This window comes from Homo sapiens, chromosome 3, assembly GCF_000001405.40.
Source record: "Homo sapiens chromosome 3, GRCh38.p14 Primary Assembly".
Lineage (NCBI taxonomy): Eukaryota > Metazoa > Chordata > Mammalia > Primates > Hominidae > Homo > Homo sapiens.
The window spans coordinates 158,042,688-158,066,506 of NC_000003.12; the positions used below are offsets into that span (position 1 = coordinate 158,042,688).

At 34.7% G+C, this 23,819-nt stretch overlaps 4 annotated features.

Annotated features, from left to right (window-relative positions):
* Nucleotides 15,266-17,524: an enhancer, noted in NCBI's record as "VISTA enhancer hs1251". NCBI's record gives its function as "enhancer in: neural tube[3/6] | hindbrain (rhombencephalon)[3/6] | midbrain (mesencephalon)[3/6]" and the evidence as "EXISTENCE:transgenic organism evidence [ECO:0001131][PMID:17130149]".
* Nucleotides 15,266-20,744: a biological region, named in NCBI's record as "hs1251 and hs1262 enhancers downstream of SHOX2".
* Nucleotides 16,224-16,326: a conserved region, noted in NCBI's record as "conserved region; duplicated CNE region of homology to human CNE5; is also ultraconserved in vertebrate orthologs". NCBI's record gives the evidence for it as "EXISTENCE:sequence alignment evidence [ECO:0000200][PMID:23575226]".
* Nucleotides 18,946-20,744: an enhancer, noted in NCBI's record as "VISTA enhancer hs1262". NCBI's record gives its function as "enhancer in: hindbrain (rhombencephalon)[5/6] | limb[6/6]" and the evidence as "EXISTENCE:transgenic organism evidence [ECO:0001131][PMID:17130149]".

A 23,819-nucleotide genomic window follows, 5' to 3' on the forward strand; every position in this document is an offset into this window, starting at 1 on the left:
CAATATCCTTGATGAACATAGATGCAAAAATCTTCAACAAAATACTAGCTAACTGAATCCAACACCACATCAAAAAGATAATACACTATGATCAAGTGGGCTTCATCCAAAGGATGTACAGATGGTTTAGCATACTCAAGTCAATAAATGTGACACATCACATAAACAGAATTAAAGACAAAAGTCATATAATAATTTCAGTAGATGCAGAAAAAGCATTTGATAAAATACAGCATTGCTTTATCATAAAACCTCTCAACAAACTATCCATAGAGGGAACTCACCTCAAAATAATAAAAGTCATATATTAAAAAAACTCACAGCAAACATCATACTGAATGGGGAAAATTTGAAAGCATTAGCCCTGGGACCTGGAACAAGACATGGAGGCCCACTTTCACCACTTCAATTTGACATAGTACTGGAAGTCCTAGCCAGAGCAATCAGGCAAGAGAAAGAAATAGAGGGCATCAAATTGGAAAAGAGAAAATCAAACTATCACTGTTGGCTGATAATACGATGATATACCTAGAAAACCCTAAAGATTCATCCAAAAGACTCCTAGATTTGATAAATGAATTCAGTAGTCTCAGGTTACAAAATGAGTGTATACAAATCAGTAGCACCACTATATATCAACAACAGCCAAGCTGAGAATCAAGTCAAGAGCTCAATCCCTTCTACAAGAGCTGCAGAAAATAAAATAAAATACCTAGGAATATACTTAACCAAGGAGGTGAAAAATCTCTGCAAGGAGAACTACAAAACACTGCTGAAAGATATCATAGATGAAACAAACAAATGAAAGCATATCCAATGCTCATAAATTGGAAGAAACAATATCTTTAAAATGACCATACTGCCCAAACCAATCTACAGGTCCAATGTAATTCCTATTCAAAGTTCCAATATCATTTTTCACAAAATTAGAAAAAAAAATCCTAAAATTCATATGGAACCAAAAAGGAGCCCAAATAGTCAAAGCAATCCTAAGGGAAAAAACAAATCTGGAGGCATCACATTAACCAGCCTTCAAATTATACTACAAGTCTATAGTTACCAAAACAGTATGGTACTGGCTTAAAAGTAGGCACATAGACTAATGGAACAGAATAGAGAACCCAGAAATAAAGCCAAATACTTACAACCAACTGATCTTTGACAAAGCATACAAAAACATAAATTGGGGGAAAGGACACTGTGTTTAATAAATGGTGCTGAGAAAACTGGCTAGCCACAGATAGAAGAGTAAAACTGGATCCATATCTTTCACCTTATACAAAAATCATCTCAAGATGGATCAAAGACTTAAATCTAAGACGTGAAACCATAAAACATCTAGAAGATAACATTGGAAAAACTCTTCTGGACATTAGCCTAGGCAAAGGATTCATGAGTAAGACCCCCAAAGCAAGTGCAACAAAACAAAAATATATAAATGGAACCTAATCAAACTAAAAATCTTTTGTACAGCAAAAGAAATAATCATCAGAGTAAACAGACAACCCATATAATGGGAGCAAATATTTGCAAACTATGCATCTGACAATGGACTAATATCCAGAATCTACAAGGAACTCAAACAAATCATCTAGAAAAAAACAAATGAGCCCATCAAAAGAAAAGTGGACACATGACATGAATAGACATTTCTCAAAAGAAAATATACAAATGGCCAGTAAACATATGAAAAAATGCTCAACATCACTAATCATCAGGGAAATGAAAATTTAAACCACAAGCAAGATACCGCCTTACTCCTGCAAGAGTAGCCATAATTAAAAAGTCAGAAAACAATAGATGTTGGTGTGGACATGGTGAAAAGGGAGCACTTTTACACTGCTGGTGAGAATGTAAATTAGTACAACCACTATGGAAAACAGTATGGAGATTCCTTAAAGAACCAAAAGTAGAACTACCATTTGATCCAATCTATCAAGATTGAATCATGAGGAAATAGAAAATCTGAAGATATCAATAATGCATAAGAAGATTGAATAAGTAATCAAAAACCTCCCAACAAAGAAAAGCCTAAGACCTGATGGCTTCACTGGTGAATTCTACCAAACCTTTAAAGAGAACTTACACCAACCTTTCTCAAATTCTTTCAGAAAATGGAAAAGGTAAGTGGCTTAGTCTGTTTTGAATTGCTATAAAGGAACAACTGAGGCTGGATAATTTATGAAGAAAAGAGGTTTATTTTGCTCATGGTTCATCAGACAGTACATGAAGCATGGCAGCAGCATCTGCTTCTGGTGAGAACTTCAGGCTTCTTCCACTCATGGCAGAAGGTAAAGGAGAGCCACATGTGCAAATCGCATGGCAAGAGGAAGAAAGACAGAGGGAGTGGAGGAAGTGCCATGTTCTTTTCAACAACTAGTTCTCACAGGAACTAAGACTGGGAACTCACTCACTCCCACAAGAAGGGCACAAAGTCACTCAGAAGGGATCTGTCCCTCATGACCTAAACACTTCCCACCAGTTCCCACCTCCAATAATGGAGATCATATTTCAACAAGCGACATGGTGGGACCAAACACACCATATCTAAACCATAGCACAGGACAAATATCCCAATGAACACAGATGCAAAAATCCTCAACAAAATACTAGTGAACAAAATTAAACTACAATGTAAGAGGATCATATACCATGACCAAGCAAGATTTATTACTGGGATACAAGAATGGTTCAACATATGCAAATCAATACATGTTATACACCACGTTAACAGAATATAAAGTAAAAATCATATGATCCTCTCAATAAATGCAGAAAAAGCATTTGACAACATTCAGCATCCTTTCATGAAAAAAAAACCTCTCAAAATATCAGATATAGAAGGAATGTGCCTCAATATAATAGAAGCCATAGATAACAAGCCCAAAGCTAACGTCATACCCAACAGTGGAAAGCTGAATACTTTTTCTCTAAGATTAGGGACAATACAAGGATGCCCAATTTCACCATTTCTTTTCAACGTAGTACTGAAAGTTCTAGCCAGAGCAATTAGGCAATAAAAAAGAAACAAAAGGCATTCAAAGAAGAAAGAAAGAAGTTATACTGTCTCTGTTTGCAGATTACATACATGATCTCATATGCAGAAAATCCTAAAGACACCACCAAAACCTGTTAAAATGACTAAATGAATTCAGTAAAGCTTCAGGATAAAAAAAATCAGCATACAAAAACGAGTTGTGTTTCTATACATTAACAACAAGCTATCAGAAAAGAAATGAAGAAATAGTTTCATTTGTCATAGCATCAAAAATAAAATACTTAGGAATAAATTTAATTAAGAAGATGAAAAATCTATACACCGAAAACCATAAAACATTGATAAAAGGAATTGAAGAAGACACAGATAAATGCAAAGATATCTATATCTCATATTCATGAATGAGGAGAATTAATACTGTTAAAATGTTCATACCACTCAAAGCAATCTATAGATGCAATGCGATCCCTATCAAAATTCCCATGTCATTTTTCAGAGAAATAGAAAAAAAATCCTAAAATTTATATGGAATCACAAAAGACTCTGAATACCCAAAGCAATATTGAGCAAGAAGAACAAAGCTGGCATCACACTACTTGATTTCAAAATATACTACAAAGGTATAGGAATCAAAACAGTATGGTACTGGCATAAAAGCAGACATATAGATCAATGAAACAGAATAGAGAGCCCAGAAATAAATCCGCATGTTTATAGCCAATTGGTTTTTGACAAGGTTCCAAAAACAAACAATGAGGAAAAAACAGTCTCTTCAATAAATGATATTGGAAGAACTGTATATTCACATGCAGAAGAGTGAAATTGGACCCTTAACTCACACCTTATCAAAAAAAATTAACTCAGGCCAGGCACACTGGCTCATGCCTATAATACCAGCACTTTGGGAGGCCAAGGAGAAAGGATTGCTTGAGCTCAAGAGTTTGAGACCAGCCTGGTCAACATAGACCCAATATCTACAATCAATCAGTCAATCAATCAATCAATAAGCTAGGCATGTTATCATGTGCCTATAGTCCCAGCTACTCAAGAGGCCAAGATGGGAGGATCCCGTCAGCCCAAGAAGTTGAGGCTGCGGTGAGCCATGATCACACTACTGTACTCTAGCCTCAGTGACACAGTAAAAGCCCACCTCCAAAAAATAAAAAGTAAATCAACAGAGAATTGATTAAAGATTTAAATGTAAGACCTGAGACTATAAAACTACTAGAAGAAAACATAGGGGAAAAGCTTCTTGATATTGATCTGAGCAATGAATTTTTAGATATGACCCCAGAAGCACAGGCAACAATGCAAAAATAGACAAATGGAATGCATGCTTCTGCACAGCAAAGGAAACAATCAACAAAGTGAAGAGACAATACAGAATGGGAGAAAATACTGCAAACCCTACATCTGATAAGCAGTTAATATCCAAAAGATACAAGGAAATTAAATAACTCAATAGTAAGAAAACAAACAATCTAATTTTTTAATGGGCAAATTACCTAAATGGATATTTCTCAAAAGACGTGGCCAACAACAGGTATATGAAAAAATGTTCAAATAATTAATTACCAGGGAAATTCAAATCAAAACTACAATGAGATATTACCTCACACATCTTAGAAGAGCTATCATCAAAAGACAAAAAATAATAAGAATATAGAGAAAAAGGGATAAAAGTAGTAGAACTTTCTCAAAAAATTAAATATAGAACTACTATATGATCCAACAATCCCACTTCTTTGTGTATACCAATAGGAAATGAAATCAGTATTCTGAAGAAATACATCTACTCCCATGTTCATGGCAGCATTATAACAATAGCAAAGATGTGGAATCAGTGTAGGTGTCCATCAACACACAAATAGATAAAGAAAATGTGATGTATAGATATGCAATGGAATATTATTCAGCCTTAAAAAAAGAAGAAAGTATTGTCACTTGTGACAACATGGATGGACCTGAAGGACATTATGTTAAGTGAAATAAGCCAGATGCAGAGAGACAAAAACTGCATGCTCTCACTTATATGTGGGATCTAAAAATGATGAATTAGAAACAGATTAGTAGGGCAGTGGTTGCCAGGAACTAGAGAGTGGGGGAAATGGGGAGATCTTGGTTAAAGGGTACAAAGTTGCTAGGCAGGATGAATAAGTTCTGGAGATCTAATGATAGCAAGGTGACTATAGTTAGTATACTGCAATATATACTGGAAATTTGCTAAAAGAGTAGATCTTAAATGTTCTCACCACATACTCACACACAAAATGGTAACTAGGTGAGTTGATGGATATGTTTGTTAGCTTGATTATGGTAATTATTCCATAATGTAAACATATATAAAAATTATGTTGTATACCTTAAATATATACAAGTTTTGTCAGTTATACCTAAATAAGGTTGGAAAATAAATAAATAATAAAGTTTGGGTAACATTCTTATTAAAAAATGGAGCTTAAATATAAAAGTTAAAACAATAAAACTTCTAGGAGATAACATAATAAAATATCATAATTACTCTGCAGTGGGCAATGGTTTCTTAAACAGGACCCACAAGCGCTAATCATAAGACTATAAATTGGACTTTATTATAATAATGACTTCTGTTCATCAAAAGACATGATTAAGAGAGTAAAAGCGTAAATCACAGACTGGGAAAATATATTCCCAGTATATATGTCTGACAGAGAATAAGTATCTCAAAAATATATTTTTAAATACTACAAGCCAATAAGAAAAAGACAACTCAATTTTTTAGATGTGGAAAGGTTTGAATAAGCACTTCATAAAAGGGAATATCGTAATTGTTAATGAGCATATTAGAGCTGTTCAACATTATCAGTCATTGTTAATCATTAGGGAAATGCAGATTAAAATCATAATGAGATATGATTACAACTTCACTAGAACGACTGAAACTAAAAAGGACTGATAATTTCAAGTAAAATCTTATGAGGTGAGGATGTGGAGCAACTGTATACACTCTCACACACTAGTGTGACTGTAAATTGGTAGAACTATTTTAGAAAACCGTATACACTATGACTCAGCAGTTCCATTTATGGATATATACCTGAAAGAAATGAGTGCTTATAAAGCATATCTACAAGAATATTCATAGCTGCTTTTGGGCTAGGAGCAGTGACTCATGCCTATAACCCCAACATTTTGGGAGGCCGAGGTGAGTAGATCACTTGAGGTCAGGAGTTCAAGACCAGCCTGGCCAACATGGCAAAACCCCATCTTTACCAAAAATGCAAAAATTAGCCAGGCTGTGGTGGCACGTGCCTGTAATCCCAGCTACTTGGGAGGCTGAGGTGGGAGAATCGCTTGAAGCCAGGAGGCGGAGGTAGCAGTGAGCTGAGATCGTGGCACTGCACTCCAGCCTGGGCAACAGAGTAAAACCCTGTCTAAAAAATAAATAAATAAATAAATAAATAAATAAATAATAAATAAAATTAAAAACAGAAAAAAGAAAAAAAGGAAAAAAAGAAGAACACAAATACTCATAGCTGCTTTGTTCATAAGAGCCAAAAACTGAAAATACCCAAATGCTTATCAGAGTCAATAAATAGTTGTATCATTATATAACACAGTACTACACAGCAATGAAAAAAATGACAGCTATATGCAACAACATGCATAATCTCACAGACATGTTGAGCAAACGAAGCCAGATACAAAAGAATTCTGTATGGCTCCATTTGTATTAACTGGGAGATGGTAAAGGGAACCTGCTGGGTGTTGAAACTGTTCTATATATCGATATATACATATGTAAAAGTTCATCAAGCTGTACACTCAAGGTTGGGCACTTCACTGCATGTTCTACTTCAATAAGAAAGTAAAAAATAAAATAAAACCCTTATTTAGGATTTTCACATCTATGCTTATAAGTGAAAGTGGCTATAATTTTCTTTTCCTGTATTATCTTGCCTTGTTTTGGCATCAAGATTATACAAATCTCAGCAAGCTTGACAGCTTTTACACTTTTAAGAATTTTTTGAATGGTGGAAGAGGCTCACAGAGTCACTGTAAAGAGCAATTACATAATATGTGAGTGTGTGTTGAATAACACAATGCTCTGAAACATATAAGCAATTATTCTGTTATCATCACCATTGCATTTCAGTTCTGCTCTTACGTATGTCCATAACCATCTGAACTGTTCACATTGGAAATAATTTCAGTTTGGCTTCAACAAAGACAACTCTGAAGATTCTGAATCAGTTTGGTTTGGAAAAAAGTGAGAGAGAGAAAGCTTTATGGATGTAAATATCAAGTACAGATAACAGAAACTTAAAAAGAGATATAGTTCAAGTTCCAAATGTGATTTGGACAAAATTAAGTAAAAGGTCACTTGTACTTGACTCTTAACCTAAAAAGGAATATTAAATAAGTTATGTTCCATTGCAATTCTCTTTGTGGCATATTTGCTGCTCTCCAAATCACCTTTAATATAAAAGATAAAATAATCTCAAAACACTGGTATTAAATACTGAAATGGTAATATAGATGCCTTGCTTTAATAATTCTGGTATAGTTTTCTAAGTCCTTAAAAAAATCTGTTGTTTACATATAATTAGAATGAATGAACAAATAACCATGTTTTTATCAATTTCAACTACTCTCAGCCATGAGACTTGAAAGTGGCGAACTTCCAGGGAAAGGGTTAGAAGAACTGGCAAGGCGAGCTAGGGTAGTGCCAGGGGCTTTCACGTTACATTTAATCACAAGAACACTGCAATGAGGAAAATATTATCCCCATTTAATTACAAAGAAACTTGAGTCAAAGGTTAAGTAACATGTACACAATCATATGGCCAGGAGACTCTCATACCAGAACTTGAATCAAAGTCTCTCCTCCTCCAAGGCCCACCCTCTTTCTACTTATACCAGTGAAAGTCGGCAGAGGTTCCCACTCTATTTGAAAATGAACTGGGGTAAAAACTGAGAAATGACTCAGAGTAATCACAGACGTAGAACATTTGCTGCAAGAGACACATTTGAATGTTATCTGAACATCCTGTGGTTTTGAAGAATTATCCCTTTTCCCAGGACAAGCAAAGTCCAGGCCCATCACAAGCCATACATCTTTTCAGAAGACATAAACATTTTCCCTTGTTTCTTCATCTCTCTGACTTGACAGACATAATGAAAACAGAACAGTCTACCAATAAGCATAGATTTATCTTTTTCAATACAATCTATTAAAGCTTAATTGACAACCATAACTATTAAAAATTGAAGAATGATAAAAGTTAAAAGTTTTCAATACATTCAGAAAAACCACAGGTAAATCAGAAAGATAGGCAGGAAAAGGGCCAGATGCTTAATGGAAACTCCCACCCAACAGTAAATCATCAAATGAAGTTGCAGAGACTCAGACTCCCTAACAAGGTAGCTCCATCAGGTCACTTCAGGTGTGTTCACACCAACAGCATTGCATGGAAGTGGTCGGTCCAGAGCAAGCAGAGCTCACAGCTGGAGAATCATGTAAGTGTGGTCATGATATGGCCCTAGGAAAATCACAGAGGGGGAACTGAGGAGGGCAACATGGGAACTCAGCCCTGGGAACTCCTAGCCTGATGGGCACACTCATCATTTAGCAATCATTATCATAATTACCACGAAATTATTGTTGTCCTTGGGGGTGGGGAGAAGGCCTATTTTTGCACTCTGGTTTCACCAAAGGTTCCAAGATGACTACTTCAATTTTCAGAATAAATAATTTCTTTTCCCAAGATTGTCTCAGAGAAGCCAAGCCTTACCTCATGACTTTTAATTCTAGTTCTCTAATATGAATTTTTCAGTGGCCTTGGGCAAGGTGTTGGAGTGCTCAATGCCTTAATTCCTCTAGTTGCTAAATAGCAATAATGATACCTGCTGTCTTCAGGCTGTAAGACTAATTGCTTAAAAATTGCTAAGTGTTTTGAAAAAAAATAGCTTGTGGGGGAAGAACATCATTTTTGGGAGACAGTGCAACGTAAATAGCATCTTTGAGTCTTTGATTTGCGTCTTTCAGCATACTCCAAATTTCGCTCACATCTTCAAACTCACTTAATTCCTTCCCACCTCAGCACCTGCCCACATTCAGATCCCTGTGTAAGATGTTCTCATCCTGTCCCTGCTCTGCCATCACCTGATCAATGCCTACATATCCTCATTTCTCAGCTTAAGTGTCCCTTCCTCAGAGAAGCTTCATGAGGGCAGGAAGGGCAAGGACAGTGCCTGTCTTGGTCACCACTGAATCCCCAGTGCCTAGCACAGCATCTGACATATGGAAAAGGCTCAATAAATATCTATTTCATTTATTTATTTAATGAACATACGTGGAATCTTGGGCAATTCATTTAATAACCGTGAGCCTTTGTTATCTCATCTGCAAAATAGATAGCTAAAATAAATCATCTCCAGTGTCCCTTCAGCACTAACATTCTGGGACTGTGACTTGGGGATCAGCATCCTCCTGTTGACCTTAAGCCACTTTTTCATTTTATTCTACCTAACGGTTTCTACGTAACTACCAAGATTACCATGATGGTTAATTTTATGTGTCAACTTGGCTGGGCCACAGGGTATCCAGATATTTGGTCAAACATTATTCTGGGTGTCTCCATGAGAGTGTTTTGGATGAGATTAACATGTAAATTAACATGCTGTTGATTCTGAGTAAAGCAGATTGCCCTTCGTAATGTAGGCTGGCCTCATTCAGTCAGTTGGCAGCCTGGATAGAACAAAAAGACCAGCCTCCCACAATCAAGAAAGAATTCTCCAGCAGACTGCCTTCAAACTTTATCTGCACATCAGCTCTTCTTGGTTTTACAGCAGACTGCCATTAAACTCTACCTGAAACATTGGCTATCTTGGTTTTCCAGGGAGTTGGCCCACTCTGCAGATTCTGGATTTGCCAGCCTCCATAATCACATCAGCCAATTCCTTAATATATATTTTTTTAAAATTAATGAATATGTATATATTCATTGCTTGCATCACATGTTGGTTTTCCTTTGTGGTATAACATAGTTGTATTCAATATTAATGCATATTTTTTCTGTTCGGGATATTTTTATGCAAACTTTACCTAACATGGGAGGCACCACCATTTTGCCTGAAGACCCTAATTCTCAAATTAGAATAGAGCCATAACAGTTTCTGCTTATTCAGTAGCTTGTCAATTGGTATATACATTTAAGGATGGCCTTGCTAGAAAGTTGGGTATTTCATGAAGGGAGTTGTAGTGAAATTTCCACTCCATTCTGGCTCATCCCCCAAAATTTTGGAGTCATAGGCCAGAAGTAGTCCCATAGGAAAGTCTAACATTTTCTCTGACTGAAAGAAAATCACGTTTCCCATGTGTGAAAAATATCCTAAATAAACACAATCAACTCAAACTCCAGGTAACCAGTTGAGTGTTGTTTTATAAATACACTATCAAATAAGTTTAGTCTATATGGCTTCTCACTATAATGAGCAAGAATTTTTCTGTTTCCTTCTTGTCTCTTTCTTCTTCTTTTCAGCCTGCAAGTACTGTCAAAATAACAGCCAGACAGTAAGAGAGAAGTCAGAGCAGCCCATCAAAAATAAGAGTCACATGACAATTATTTCATGATGGAAACTTTCAGCAAAGTGCGACTAGGATAAAAGTAGGATCACTTGTGACTTTGTTATGTCACACCATTTGAAAGGGGAGGACCTAATTTTATGTTACACTTAAATCTATTAAATTAAAATCCAAAGAAAAAATAATTTTTACTCAAAAGTTATTCAATGATTTCAATAATATGAAAATATATATGGATAAGGTTATTCACCTATGTCCACTGTTTGTAATTGTAAAATATTAGAAACAACCTAAACATTCATACATAGGAAAATGATTGAATAAACTATGGTACATCCATACAATGGAGTACTACACAGCTTGAAAAAAAAGAGCACAGCTAAAGAACAAAGAAAATCTCTATAAACTGGTGTGGTGGAATTTTTAGGACATTTAGTGAAAAAAGCAAAATGCAATACAGTACCTTTATATGCTACCTTTTCATAAAAAAAGAAGAGAAAGAGAAGAAAATGTACATGTATCTGTACATTCATTCAAAAAGAAACACAAGAAGGATAAACCAAAGGCTGTAGAGATTGCTGAGACTGGTTAACCACAGCGGGAGGAGATAATAAGGGGATATAATAGAAGGATTTGGCAAAGGGAGGTGAAAATGTTACTTCCTAAGAATGTCTTTTTGCACAGTTCTGACTTTTGGAACCACATTAATGGTTCACATGCTGAAAAAAAGTGAGTAAAATTAACAAATAGAAGGAGAAACTACATAATTTATTCCATGATTTCTTTTTAATTTTGGCCATGAATAAGGTTCAGGACACAGCTTTACTTGGTGGTTTTGGAAATGTTTTATTTAGGCTTTATACTCTTTTATTTATCTCTACCACCATGGAAACACAAATTAGTAATAGTTCAGCTTCCAAAATCTTATTGGAATAAAAATTTTCAAAAAATATTACTTTTGTTCTTTTTATTGTATTCAGTAAGGTGATACTTACATCGCACAGGATCTAATTTCTTAAAGGTGCATATAAATGTGTACTCCATTAAGCAACATTTGAAAACACATTGTATTTTTCATCCTTGGGCAGACCTAAATTTGCAGATTCAAGCAATAGCATGCTTTCGCCCACTTATTGCACTCCTTCCCTCATGCTTTATCTGGTGTGGAGTCCTTGACAGCCCTCATGATTGTCTCTCAGCTTACCCCGGGGAAATGAGAAAGAGTCAGAAGGTACCTTTTCAACATCACAGGTAACATTTAGGGTAAACTTCTTACATGAGATGACACTGGCCTGTTTTTCTGCTAATAAATCACTGCTCATTTTTCCTCCTGTCACTCTGTTGCCTATGTACATAATAATAATCCCTTTTTAATTTCTTATTTTACAAGAGGCTTCATTCAGCTTAAATTTCAAAGACCCAATTTTTAGCCTAGATGATGAATTTTCCCATTTAAATCACATTTTTCCTAAATAGACACACACAGTACATAGGCTTAAATTACAAAATTATATAGAGCACAAACTAGAATTGAACACTGACATATAAAGGGTCACTTTGAGACAATTTGATCCTTAGTGGATGATTCTCTTTTCCTAGCAATACATTATCACTGATATTGCTATAGCCATGGCAAAACAAAATCACATCATCCTTAAATGTAACTGTCTGTGGTAAAATAAGAAGATGATCATCTATTATGATATCAAAAATTGGCTTCCAGATTTGTGGAACAGTTTGGACAAGATAAACCTCTAAAATCCATTTTAACTCTAAAATGTGCAGTTTATGAGCTATATCGATCATAAATCAGGAACAAAAGCAACTTATTGATTCCTTTTTTTGAAATCATGAACTAAGCTAAGAATTTACACAGAACAAACATGCAAGCAATTTTTGCAGTGTACAAGCCCTCTATATATACAGGCAGTCAAGTCTATTTCAAAGGATAAAGTAATAATCATGACTCATTGGAAAGCAAGTAGTAAAATGGGCCTGGGAGCTTGACCTGAGAGGGAACCATTCATGGTGCACAGCTCAGGGCCTTCTCACTGGAACCATGTCTTTCTCAATGTCACTCCCATTAGTAAAAGGGAAATGACCAACTCTGCTTCAAAAAGAAGAGCCATTGTCTGGGCACAGTGACTCACACCTGTAATCCCAGCACTTTGGGAGGCCAAGGTGAGCGGATCACTGGAGGCCAGGAGTTTGAGACCTGCCTGGCCAACATGGCGAAACCCTGTCTCTACTAAAAATACAAAAATTAGCTGGGTATGGTGGCAGTGCGCCTGTAATCCCAGCATCTTGGAAGACTGAGGCAGGAGAATGGCTTGAGCCTGGAGGCGGAGGTGGCAGTGAGCCAAGATCGGGCCACTGCACTCCAGCCTGGGTGACAGAGTGAGACTCTGTCTCAAAAAAAAACCAAAAAAAAAAAAAAGGGCCATAGATTTTCCTGCTGGCATTATAGCAATGGGTAACACAGCCTCATCTCTTCACTCCCTTGAATTTTATCTTTGCAGTGGGTATATTGTTCATGCATTCTTTGTCAGAATCTCACATTCTGTACATATTTGTGCTTGGAAAAACACTGTGTATATATCTTCATTGCTACAAATGAGTAGTCTTTTCTTCTCTTCCTGCTTTTACTGATTCTGAGGTTGAGAGTATTAACGTGAATGAGACCATTTTAAACAAGAGTGTCATTTTGAAATTTAAACCAGGAAACAAAAATCACTAGCATGAAAACTGAATCACTAGCAGGAAAACTTATAATCTAAAATATACTACCCTTATCAACAAAGTTATAATTATTATCCAACCCAAGACCTAACTCTGTTACTGATCAAGATACATATGCACACACATATATACACACAGCTTGCATTTAGTGCAATACATGCTGCTTAGCATTTATAAATCTACAGCAAAACTAACTTCATCAAACGAATCGTATTTCCTTGATGATTTACTTAAAGATAAAAACTTGTCAGTGAATGTCAGGAAATCATAACTGGAGATTTAGTAAATTATTTTTATCACACTAATGGAAAACAATGCTTTTAGAAAGTAATAACAGTAAAATATTCTAACTGTATAAATATTATTATGTTAGAATGATTCCTTTAAAAATGATTGAGAATGAAATAATTGTATCAAAAGCTTAAATGGCATGACTGGCATTCTTACCCATTTGCTTTTGCTATTTAGTTGCAGAAATTTCTAAACTTTTTAGTACTTTAGGGAAACGTGCCACTAACTCTAACTTTACATCCCATCAAACAAAATTTCAGTATTTTTTAACTTTGTACCTGCACCAATCAATCCATTTCCAAAGTTAATATGATTTTGTAACTGAGGGTAGCATCATCACTGGTGGAGGCTGTTAATACATCAACATGATGTTTTTGTGTTTGGCAAAATGACAATTGTCAGGCCTTAGGATAAGCAGGAACTCCAGCTAGCAATGGCAGAGGATGTACTATGTGAAATGTAATATGCTGCAGGATGGGAAACAATCATCTCACAGAAACTCAGTTAACTGAATTCCAAAATTTAGAAAACTGAGCTTTTTCATGGCTTTACTATAGGAAATGGAACCCCCAGATTTAGACACTCACAGGTTAAAGGGAGAGTTACGATAGTTCCACTGAACTAATAAGATGGAGGCCAACTTAACCTTCAATTCGGAGAAGACTAATTTGATTTTTAGGTGGTTTATTTGGAAGCTGTCTTTACTGCATTAGTATTACATGTTAGAAATGTTGACTCTTTCATCAAAGAAAAGAAACTCAAGGTGGTAGACTTTTAAGGAGAGGATAAGTATATGTATGAAGCAGTTACTTCATCATTAAGCTTGGTGTGCTAGGATCCTTCATAATGAATATCACCTAAAAAATTCTTTCATCTTAGTCTAGATATCTAAAAGTCTAAGAAAAGTAATTTGGATTGTTCTATGCTAAAAATTCCATTTCTGGCTCCCTAGTCACAAAAGATACACATTAGACTCAAACATTCAACCACAAGAACGGGAACTAAAAATGATACTTGTACCAGTAAAAATATCAGAGGCAGTAAAAATAACAGACATCATTCTCCTTCCCAGTATATTATTTAGGTCTGGTAGAGAGACACAGTATTTTACCATCATACCAACCAATTATTTGTACTATTGACAGCAAAAAAAAAAAAAAAAAAACAACTCAAAGCTCAAAATTTCCTCATGAAAAGACAATGAAAATGAATTTTTAAAAAACATACAAAGAAGCAATTTACAAAATCATATTTATAGCTCCAAAGTTAAGAATAAATGAAGAAAACATAAGCCAAGCAATATGTGTGTCTGCCATTCCACTCAGCAGAAAATGCGCTGCCCTGCATCAATTCCCCATGGTGGAAGACTGTACTTTTTTATTGATCAGGATGAACAGAATAGTTCTCTGATCGTATTAGCTACTAATATTAACAAAGATGTTAGACTCAAAGAGCAGACTTACAATTAGATGCAGAAAAGGAGCTGGACATGCTCTTTTGTTCTGCAAACCAAATAGCTTTAAATTTCTGTTGTGCCAATGACTGTTCCATCAAAGTATATTTTGGCTAAAAAAAATGCCTGCCCAAACCACACATTACTCATTGCTCATGCAATCTGACACTCAAACACAGCTTTTTTTTTAAATCCTACAATTGAAAGACTACAGAAATTGTACATCCCTTCTACCATGAAATATGTCATTCAAGTAACATGAAATAGTACAATAATACTCTCAAACTGTGAATAACTCCTCCCTAATACAATAAGTGCTTGAATGCTGATGGAGATTTAATTTGCACAGTAGAAAACATAAACCCATCCAGACACCCAAATAATTACATCATTACCTAGTCAGGTGTGGGGAGAAGTAGGTAGAAAAACAACCAATACACTTCATGACCTGTTAGCTTCTTTAAAAAAAAAAATCATAACAACAAACTTGTACATGTGCCTACAAATATTCATGCAGACTTTCTGAAACGAAAGCTTATAGCATTATGGCATTCACACAATAATTCAATCTAATTGTGTAGGCAGGCTGTAAAACGGCTGTTTCTCAGATGGTTTCCTGACAAAAAAATAATGTTAAACCTTCTTCTCTGACATCTAATGTTTCAGGTTTTTAAAAATACTATATAAAGACTGAGATTTATTTCCTAAGATGTTTCATTAATGGTTGTGGCAGGCAGCTGGCCTGAGGTTTGACACACAATAAAATCCATGTCAAGAATATTAAAGATAGTGCAAAAGATAACTATGAATTTACATTCAAACAGGCTTTTGACAAAGCCATTGCAACAGGCTCCTAATCAGGTCTTGAGACCTAGCCTGCCCTCTCTTTAAACCCGTGATCCTGAAAAGGAGCTTTAAATTGGAAATTATTACACATTAAAACCTCAACATGGGCCAGATCGAAGTGGATCGATATCTTGCCGAGCACAATAAATCAGCCTTCTGCTCTGCGGTTACTGTTTGCTGAACATATTTAAATTTTCTTGTAACAAATTAATTCCAACATTTTCTCTTGATTGAATTAGAGCAAGTGTTGGAGCTGTCACAAGTATTTCGCTGCTTCAGGGAGACAAATTGCTCGTCTGGACATGGGTAACAAGCCAAAGTGTTGAGTCCCTGATAATCTTTCCACTAATTCTCCATTACAGCAAAATGAAGCCATAAATCACCATGACAGCTGATCGATGTAAACATTGTTTCCGCCATGATTGCCGGAGCTCCCTGTGGAGTTACTGTCCGCTTACAATTCGCTGAAATTACTCCCCGTGCAGCCTCCCTGGAAACTACGGGAGCCTTGGAACCAAAGTCACTCCTGCCTGAAAAGTAACCATCTCATTTCAGACCTCAACCCACTTTCAAAATAGCAAATATTAATCAAAATGCCCTATTTAGCTACAGGCTAGGTAATCTTTTAAAGCTAAGAAGTATTCCTTAGGCAATCACTCTTTCTGCAAAAAAATGAAATTTTAAACTGCTATTTTATAAAATATATTTGTGGAAATGTAACAATGTCAGCCTCAAGTACTGTCATTTTCTCTTAACTAACTAGTGGCAAGTTGGATGAAATTACTTGACCCTTTATCGAGTTCTACTAATGTGTTCTAAAAAAGAAATTAAACCACCTTGTGGCTTGCCCTATGGCAGACTTCCATGCACATTTAATTCCAGAAAAGATGCATTAAGTAGTTCTGGTAGAACTAATTCACAGACTGAGCCTCCCGTGTTGGTAATCTGTCTGCATAATGCTCTACTACTATTCAAGGTTCTTACAAAACATTGCAGTTAGTTACAGGACAAAGCAAGAGTGGTGGTTACATTCACCTTTGAATCGGGGCAGTAATTTTTCATTCCGGTAGTATTCCAAGTTTTCATTCTTGTATAATAGGATTAGGAATTGCCAGTAAAAATGCATAGCCCTATCAATATTCTGAAAATAATTGAATAATTTTAATGATACATTTTTAATGCAACAGGTTACTTACATGATGGATGGATTTAAGTAATAACTGAGTTCTAAAAAGATATGCCAAATTTTTAAAATTCAGGTATTTCCAAGCTAAAAATAAGACAAAGCAAGAAACGTGTTGATACAACAGGATACACACACACACACATTATGTATATACATATATACACATACATTATATATACACACATACATTTTATATAGATATACACATATATATATACACAATTTTTTTAAAGAGATGGAATTTTGCTATGTTGCCCAAGCAATACTCTCACCTCTCCCTCCTGAGTAGCTGACTAGCACCAACACACCCATTTTATAGCTTATATTTTTATGTGAAAAGACACAATCTCAAATAATTGCATGCACAGGTAGATTCATACTGTCTATCTACTACCAAAACGTTTTTTCTTTTATAATTTAATAACAGTCAATTTGAAGCACACATTTATCATTAATAAATATTCAGAATATATGTTAATATAATGTTGATTACCTTATTTTCTTCTAGAAGAGAATATAAATGGTAAAACTTTAAGATCTTGGTCTATTATAATTTGTCCTCACTATAAAAAGCATACTGCTTTGTGATATTTTCTTTTAAGTATGAAAAGCTTAATAGTGAAACACAATTATAATGTAAAGATAATTAAAATGAAAATAAAGTAAACTAAAATGTAACCTATAAAAAGTCAATAAGGGCCAGGCGCGGTGGCTCATGTGTGTAATCTCAGCACTTTGGGAGGCCAAGGCGGGTGGATCACCTGAGGTCAGGAGTTCAAGACCAGCCTGGCCAAAATGGCAAAACCCCATCTCTACTAAAAATACAAATATTAGCTGGGCATGGTAGTCCATGTCTGTGGTCCCAGCTACTCAGGAGGCTGAGGCAGGAGACTCGCTTGAACCCGGGAGCCAGAGGTTTCAGTGAGCCGAGATCGTACCACTGCACTCCGGCCTGGGTGACAGAGCGAGACTCTGTCTCAAAATATAAATAAATAAATAAATAAACGTTTTTCTCCAACTTGCCAAACCCTAAAGTTTTGGAGAAATAAAATAATTATGTACAATTTCCTTGCATATCATGCCTAGCACTCTTGTCTATTAAAATTAAATAACCTTAGATCTCTGAGTATTTTTTTTCATCTACATAAAAGTGTATGCACTTACACAAACAAAATTCATTAGAAGACTCATAATTTAGTATTTGGCCCACACGTTACCAAAGATGTAGAAGCGTGATTCCATAGGGCATATAAATATCACACTGTCTCCAGAATTATAGTTTATATAATGCTAAGGGTTCTCAAAATTCCTTCAAAGAAGAGCTTTTCTCTCATAAACTGAACCTCACTGGGAAATGGAGAGGCACTTTCCTAATCCTTTTTGTTAGTTCCATGGTTTTAGGAAAAACCTAGATTCACAACACATGTCCCTGAGTTCATCACTTTACTGGATGTGTAAAGTAAGATGGGTAAGATTCATTCATCAGTGTCTACCTCAAATCATTGTCCAACCAATCACAAGTTTAGATCAATGAGTAGTAATTAGAGAGAAGTGGAAGATGATGTTATAGTGACCACAGAAAGGCAAAGAAGTCAGAAACCAGTATGTAATGACAGGCCAGATTTTTTTAATCATTATTTGAATTACTCTATAAATTACTAACTCTGTTGAGTATTCACTCAAATCACTAACTCCATTGAGTGAGACATAGGTATAAATTGTCATTATTTTTTAAAAACAACAAACGTAGATTTTATTTTTTTTGTTTAGTTATACAATAAATGTTAAATTTGAACACCATATTTAGGAGAAAATCAATTCCACTAAATTAATTTTTCATCTTCAATGCAATCTATTTTTGGATTGAAAAGAGGGATAAATCTTTGTGTGTATTTCCAAGTAAATGTGCTTTAAATGTTTTGATGCTGAATTCACTGTATTTACTCTGATATTCAACTCACAGTTCTGATTAATGGGATTTAAACAGGCAAGAAAACCCCCAAAACATCGCTGATTATTTTAACAACTAGTTAATGGCTTAAAATAACTGATGTGTGGCTGAAGTTTATGTAATTTATAATCAAAACAAAATTTCACTTCAAAATGTCTTAGAGTTGTTCAATTGTATGTTAAAATTGAAACAACTATAAAAACTTCAATAAATATATTTTCTTCCAAGAAATGACACACTGTGACTTTTTTGTTATTGTTGAGTTTGATGTTTTTGCCTCTAAGGAGGTCAGCAATATGGAAACATAAAGGCCAATTTAATTTGTGCATCTGCGGCTGCCAAGTATTTTAATTCAGACAGCTGTGACTGAAGAGTTAATATTTTACTTGTCAAAATCCAAAAGAAGGCCAGTGAATCACTCTAATTCTCATTAAGAGGCTTTCCCCCAGTAGCACCCTAATTCAAAATAATGAAAGTAGAGACTGAGTGCGATTCTAATACCAGTTGAGACCTATCTTTTAATATTTCTCCAGTGATGGATTAGGGATCGGGGAAATTCATCTCACATCATAGAGCCTAATTTAATAAGGGATCATTCCAAGAGTATTGCATTTTATAATAATGTCATTTAATGTGTCGTCTTCCATTTTTACTGTCCCATATGTATGCTTACACGATGGTGCCATAGGAATAAACTTTTAAAGAACCAGAATCATTTTTAGTTTTCATTTTCCTTAAGTAGGGGCCCATCAATGAAAGCATCCATTAGTACGTTTATTATCACAAAATAAGGAAGTGAGGGAAATATCCGATTTGGAGGAAAAGTTAATAGAACTGTAAGTAAATATTCAACTTTTTACAGATTCTTGAGCATTGGAGAACGTGAAAATGTTTAAGAGAAGGTTTAAATAAATCAAATTTTATTATCTGATATATTACAATAATACAAAAACCTGGTGACCTAGTACCTTAAAACGCACAATAAAATAGCATTCTAAAAATCTAATCTTGCTTTCTCCTATTGCTCCTCATTTTCAACTGATTTACAATGCGAGTGAAGATTTAATAACTGCTTAGTAAAGACTAATTATTCATGGTGACTAACTTTAGGGAAATAATATGAAGGGCTATTTTTCCATAAATTGCATTCACTTACTCAATGAGGAAAACAAATTGTCAGGAACAACATTATATGAAGTACTTAACTTTATTATTTTATATTAACATCTAACTGTATTTAATCAACTTTGCTATTTTTATCTTGGCATTACAGTGAATGTGAAACACTTGGCAATTACTAGGGCACTAGTTACGCAAGTTCAGGTCAGAGCATCACAACCATATAAATGTCAATACATTATTATTGGCTATAACTCCTACACCAGCAGCAGGAGTGCTGCTTAATCACAATTATGTTCTATAAAGCCTTTAGGACAGCTGGTGTTGTAGCGTAATAAGAGAGTTTCCCTTCAAATATATTCTCTAGATTGGGTCTTTACCTTTAGATAATATCTTTAATAATGTCCTTTTTCATTCTGATGGCATTAGTTTAAACACATAAACTCTATGACTGCAAATTATACTATAGAAACATTACTTTGTGGTAATTGTTAATCTGAATGTAGCCATTTTTCAAAAATAGAAATAATCTGAGTGGAAATGTAATACACTTTAAAATTCTTTTTAATGTTTTTGCCTCTGTGAATATTTTCCTATATGTTTTGTAGTTCAGTTATTCTCAATGTATTACAAATGTTTCAACTCTTTACTTGGATTTTAAAATAAATCTTGTTTTCTCATAGCCTTTGACTTTTTATTCCTGCCTTGCCTAAATATACATTCTTGCTATTTTTTCCCACCTATCTTCAGGACTTTCATCCCTGTTTTTCTTTTTTTACTGTATTACATTGTCTATTGTACCCTAAAATAATCCCCTAGGACCTGTTTCTTTTTCCTTTACCACATTTTTTCTTTAACTGTCTTTATTTCTGCCCATTCAGTTTATGTTCTGTTATCCATTTCAGGTTATCTTTTCATCTTTTACTATTTCTTTTAAAAAATCATGAGTTCTCCTGTTGATAAGAATAATATAACATATATACAGATTGATTCCTAGAATCTCTTTAAGGAAGTAATTTACAGGAAAAATACCATGATATTCAAAACCATGTCAATAAATTAAAAAAAGGAAAAAAAGCACTGAATGTTATCAAGAATAATTAGAAGTGATTATTTGAGTCATACACGGAATGGTAGGAGTAAGGGTAAAAACATAGAAATAAAACCTAAAACAAACGTATAAAACTAAGTACATATTATTAAAAATCACTAAAAGTGATTTGGGGGCAATAATCAAAGACAATTCTGCCACTTGCTTTTTGAAAATCTGATCATCCCATTTTATTTTAAAAACCAAATGTGACATAAAAATTATAATTAAAATATTCTTGTTTTACCTGTTTTATTGTGAAATTATGGTTACATAAGCATTTCATGAAACCCGCTGGTTATTATGTGAAAATATTAATAATACAACATTCCCAGTATTTACTATGGACAGATTAACATACTAAATCCACTTGGAAACTAGAAAACCTTTCTATGTGAACACAAAAAGATCTTTCCATATACCATGATTAGGACTTTAGAAAATTAATGGTTTTTTTCTTTACACCCAAAACACATGTGTTAAATAAATAAAGAAGATAATTAAAAAGACAGTTTACATCTGAATCTGCTTCAAAAGTGAGGAGGGGGGCCAGGATTTTCACATGAAATTGAACAAATTGATATTTATATACAAACGTTCACAACAAAATTCATATAGGATTAATCAAGGTGGCATGAGAAGGTAGCAACTTGTCACAATAGGAAAGACAGGACCAAAAGTGTAAAATACAGATATTTTAAACAAAGACATTCAGCACAGAACCAGACTGAATTCAAAGAACTGTGCTCTTCATTCCAACTGAAAGAACCATATATATTCTATTCAATGCTTTTGTAAAAATCCACTATATGTCATCATAGCCATTTTTGGCAGCTGTCTTATTAGCTCAATTAAATTGAAAAAAAAAGTTTTATTTTCTTTTTTTCACTTAATTTACCAGGTTTTTCTTTTGATTCAATAAAACATACTATAAATGCCAAATTTTTCTTTTCAGCACCTTTGAAGCCAAGATCTGAAAAGTTTTTCTTACGAGAAAGTAAGGTCAAGTGGCAATGACACTGAAATCTACAAAAGAAAGGTCTAGTGAACAGAGCAACTGATGGTTATTGTTCTCAGAGACTAACGTCACCAAGCAAAAAATTATTCTAGAGAATTAATAGAATGCATTTAATGCAAAATTGCCTCCAGAAAGTTAATTGAGTTTTTAAAATATGATGGTAAATTACAAATTAGCATCTCCATTAAACCAAACTACTGATAAGCAATAGTCTCTCATGACTATTAAGTTTCCCCCATACTCTATTCCATGGTGAAATAACTTTCCAATGCTAAGCCTACTTGGAAACTGTTAAATTTCAGAAGACTGTGAAATAAGTTACTGATTTACAGGATTTTAGTTTGGCTCAGCTAAAGGAGAGAATTAAACTATTTTAGCATTACAGGATTTTACTAAGTATTTGTATAGTATATTCACATTTGTTAACTCCTTCGAGCCTCACAATAACCCAGTAAGGTAGATACTATTATACCTACTCATAAACGCAGTTTTATAAATTCGCCAAAGATCACACATTTAGTAAGTGGCAGTGTGAGTACTTCATAAGTCATCTTTTGACACTACTTGGTGCACTATTCTACTTCACATGATACAAAACTGAACTAAAAATTGGAGATATATAGTTTGTTCCCCCAAAAGAAATGTTTGTCTATTACAGTGTTACCTTCAAGAATGGACCCACCAAAGAAGCTAAGAACCTTGGTTAAAGGTTAGAGGAATTGCTAACTAGAATAACCAGTTTAGAGAAGAACATAAATGACCTGATGGAGCTGAAAAACACAGCACGAGAACTTCGTGAAACATACACAAGTATCAACAGGTGAATCTATCAAGTGGAAGAAAGGATATCAGAGATTGAAGAGCAACTTAATGAAATAAAGTGTGAAGACAAGATTAGAGAAAAAAGAATGAAAAGGAACAAACAAAGCCTCCAAGAAATATGGGACTATGTGAAAAGACCAAACCTACATTTGATTGGTGTACCTGAAAGTGATGGGGAAAATGGAACCAAGTTGGAAAACACTCTTCAGGATATTATCTAGGAGAACTTCTCCAACCTAGCAAGGACAGGCCAACATTCAAATTCAGGAAATAAAGAGAACACCACAAAGATACTCCTCGAGAAGAACAACCCCAAGACACATAATCGCCAGATACACCAAGGTTGAAATGAAGGAAAAAATGTTAAGGGCAGCCACTGCAAAACAAACCAAAATGTAAAGACCATCAACACTATGAAGAAACTGCATCAACTAAGGGGCAAAATAACCAGCTAGCATCATAATGACAGGATCAAATTCACACATAACAATATTAACCTTAAATGTAAATAGGCTAAATGCCCCAATTAAAGGGCACAGACTGGCAAATTGGATAAACAGTCAAAATCCATTGGTGTGCTATATTCAGGAGACCTCTCTCATGTGCAAAGAAACACATAGGCTCAAAATAAAGGGATGGAGGAAGATTTGCCAAGCAAACGGAAAGGAAAAAAAAGCAGGGGTTGCAATCCTAGTCTCTGATAAAACAGACTTTAAACCAACAAAGATCAAAAAAGACA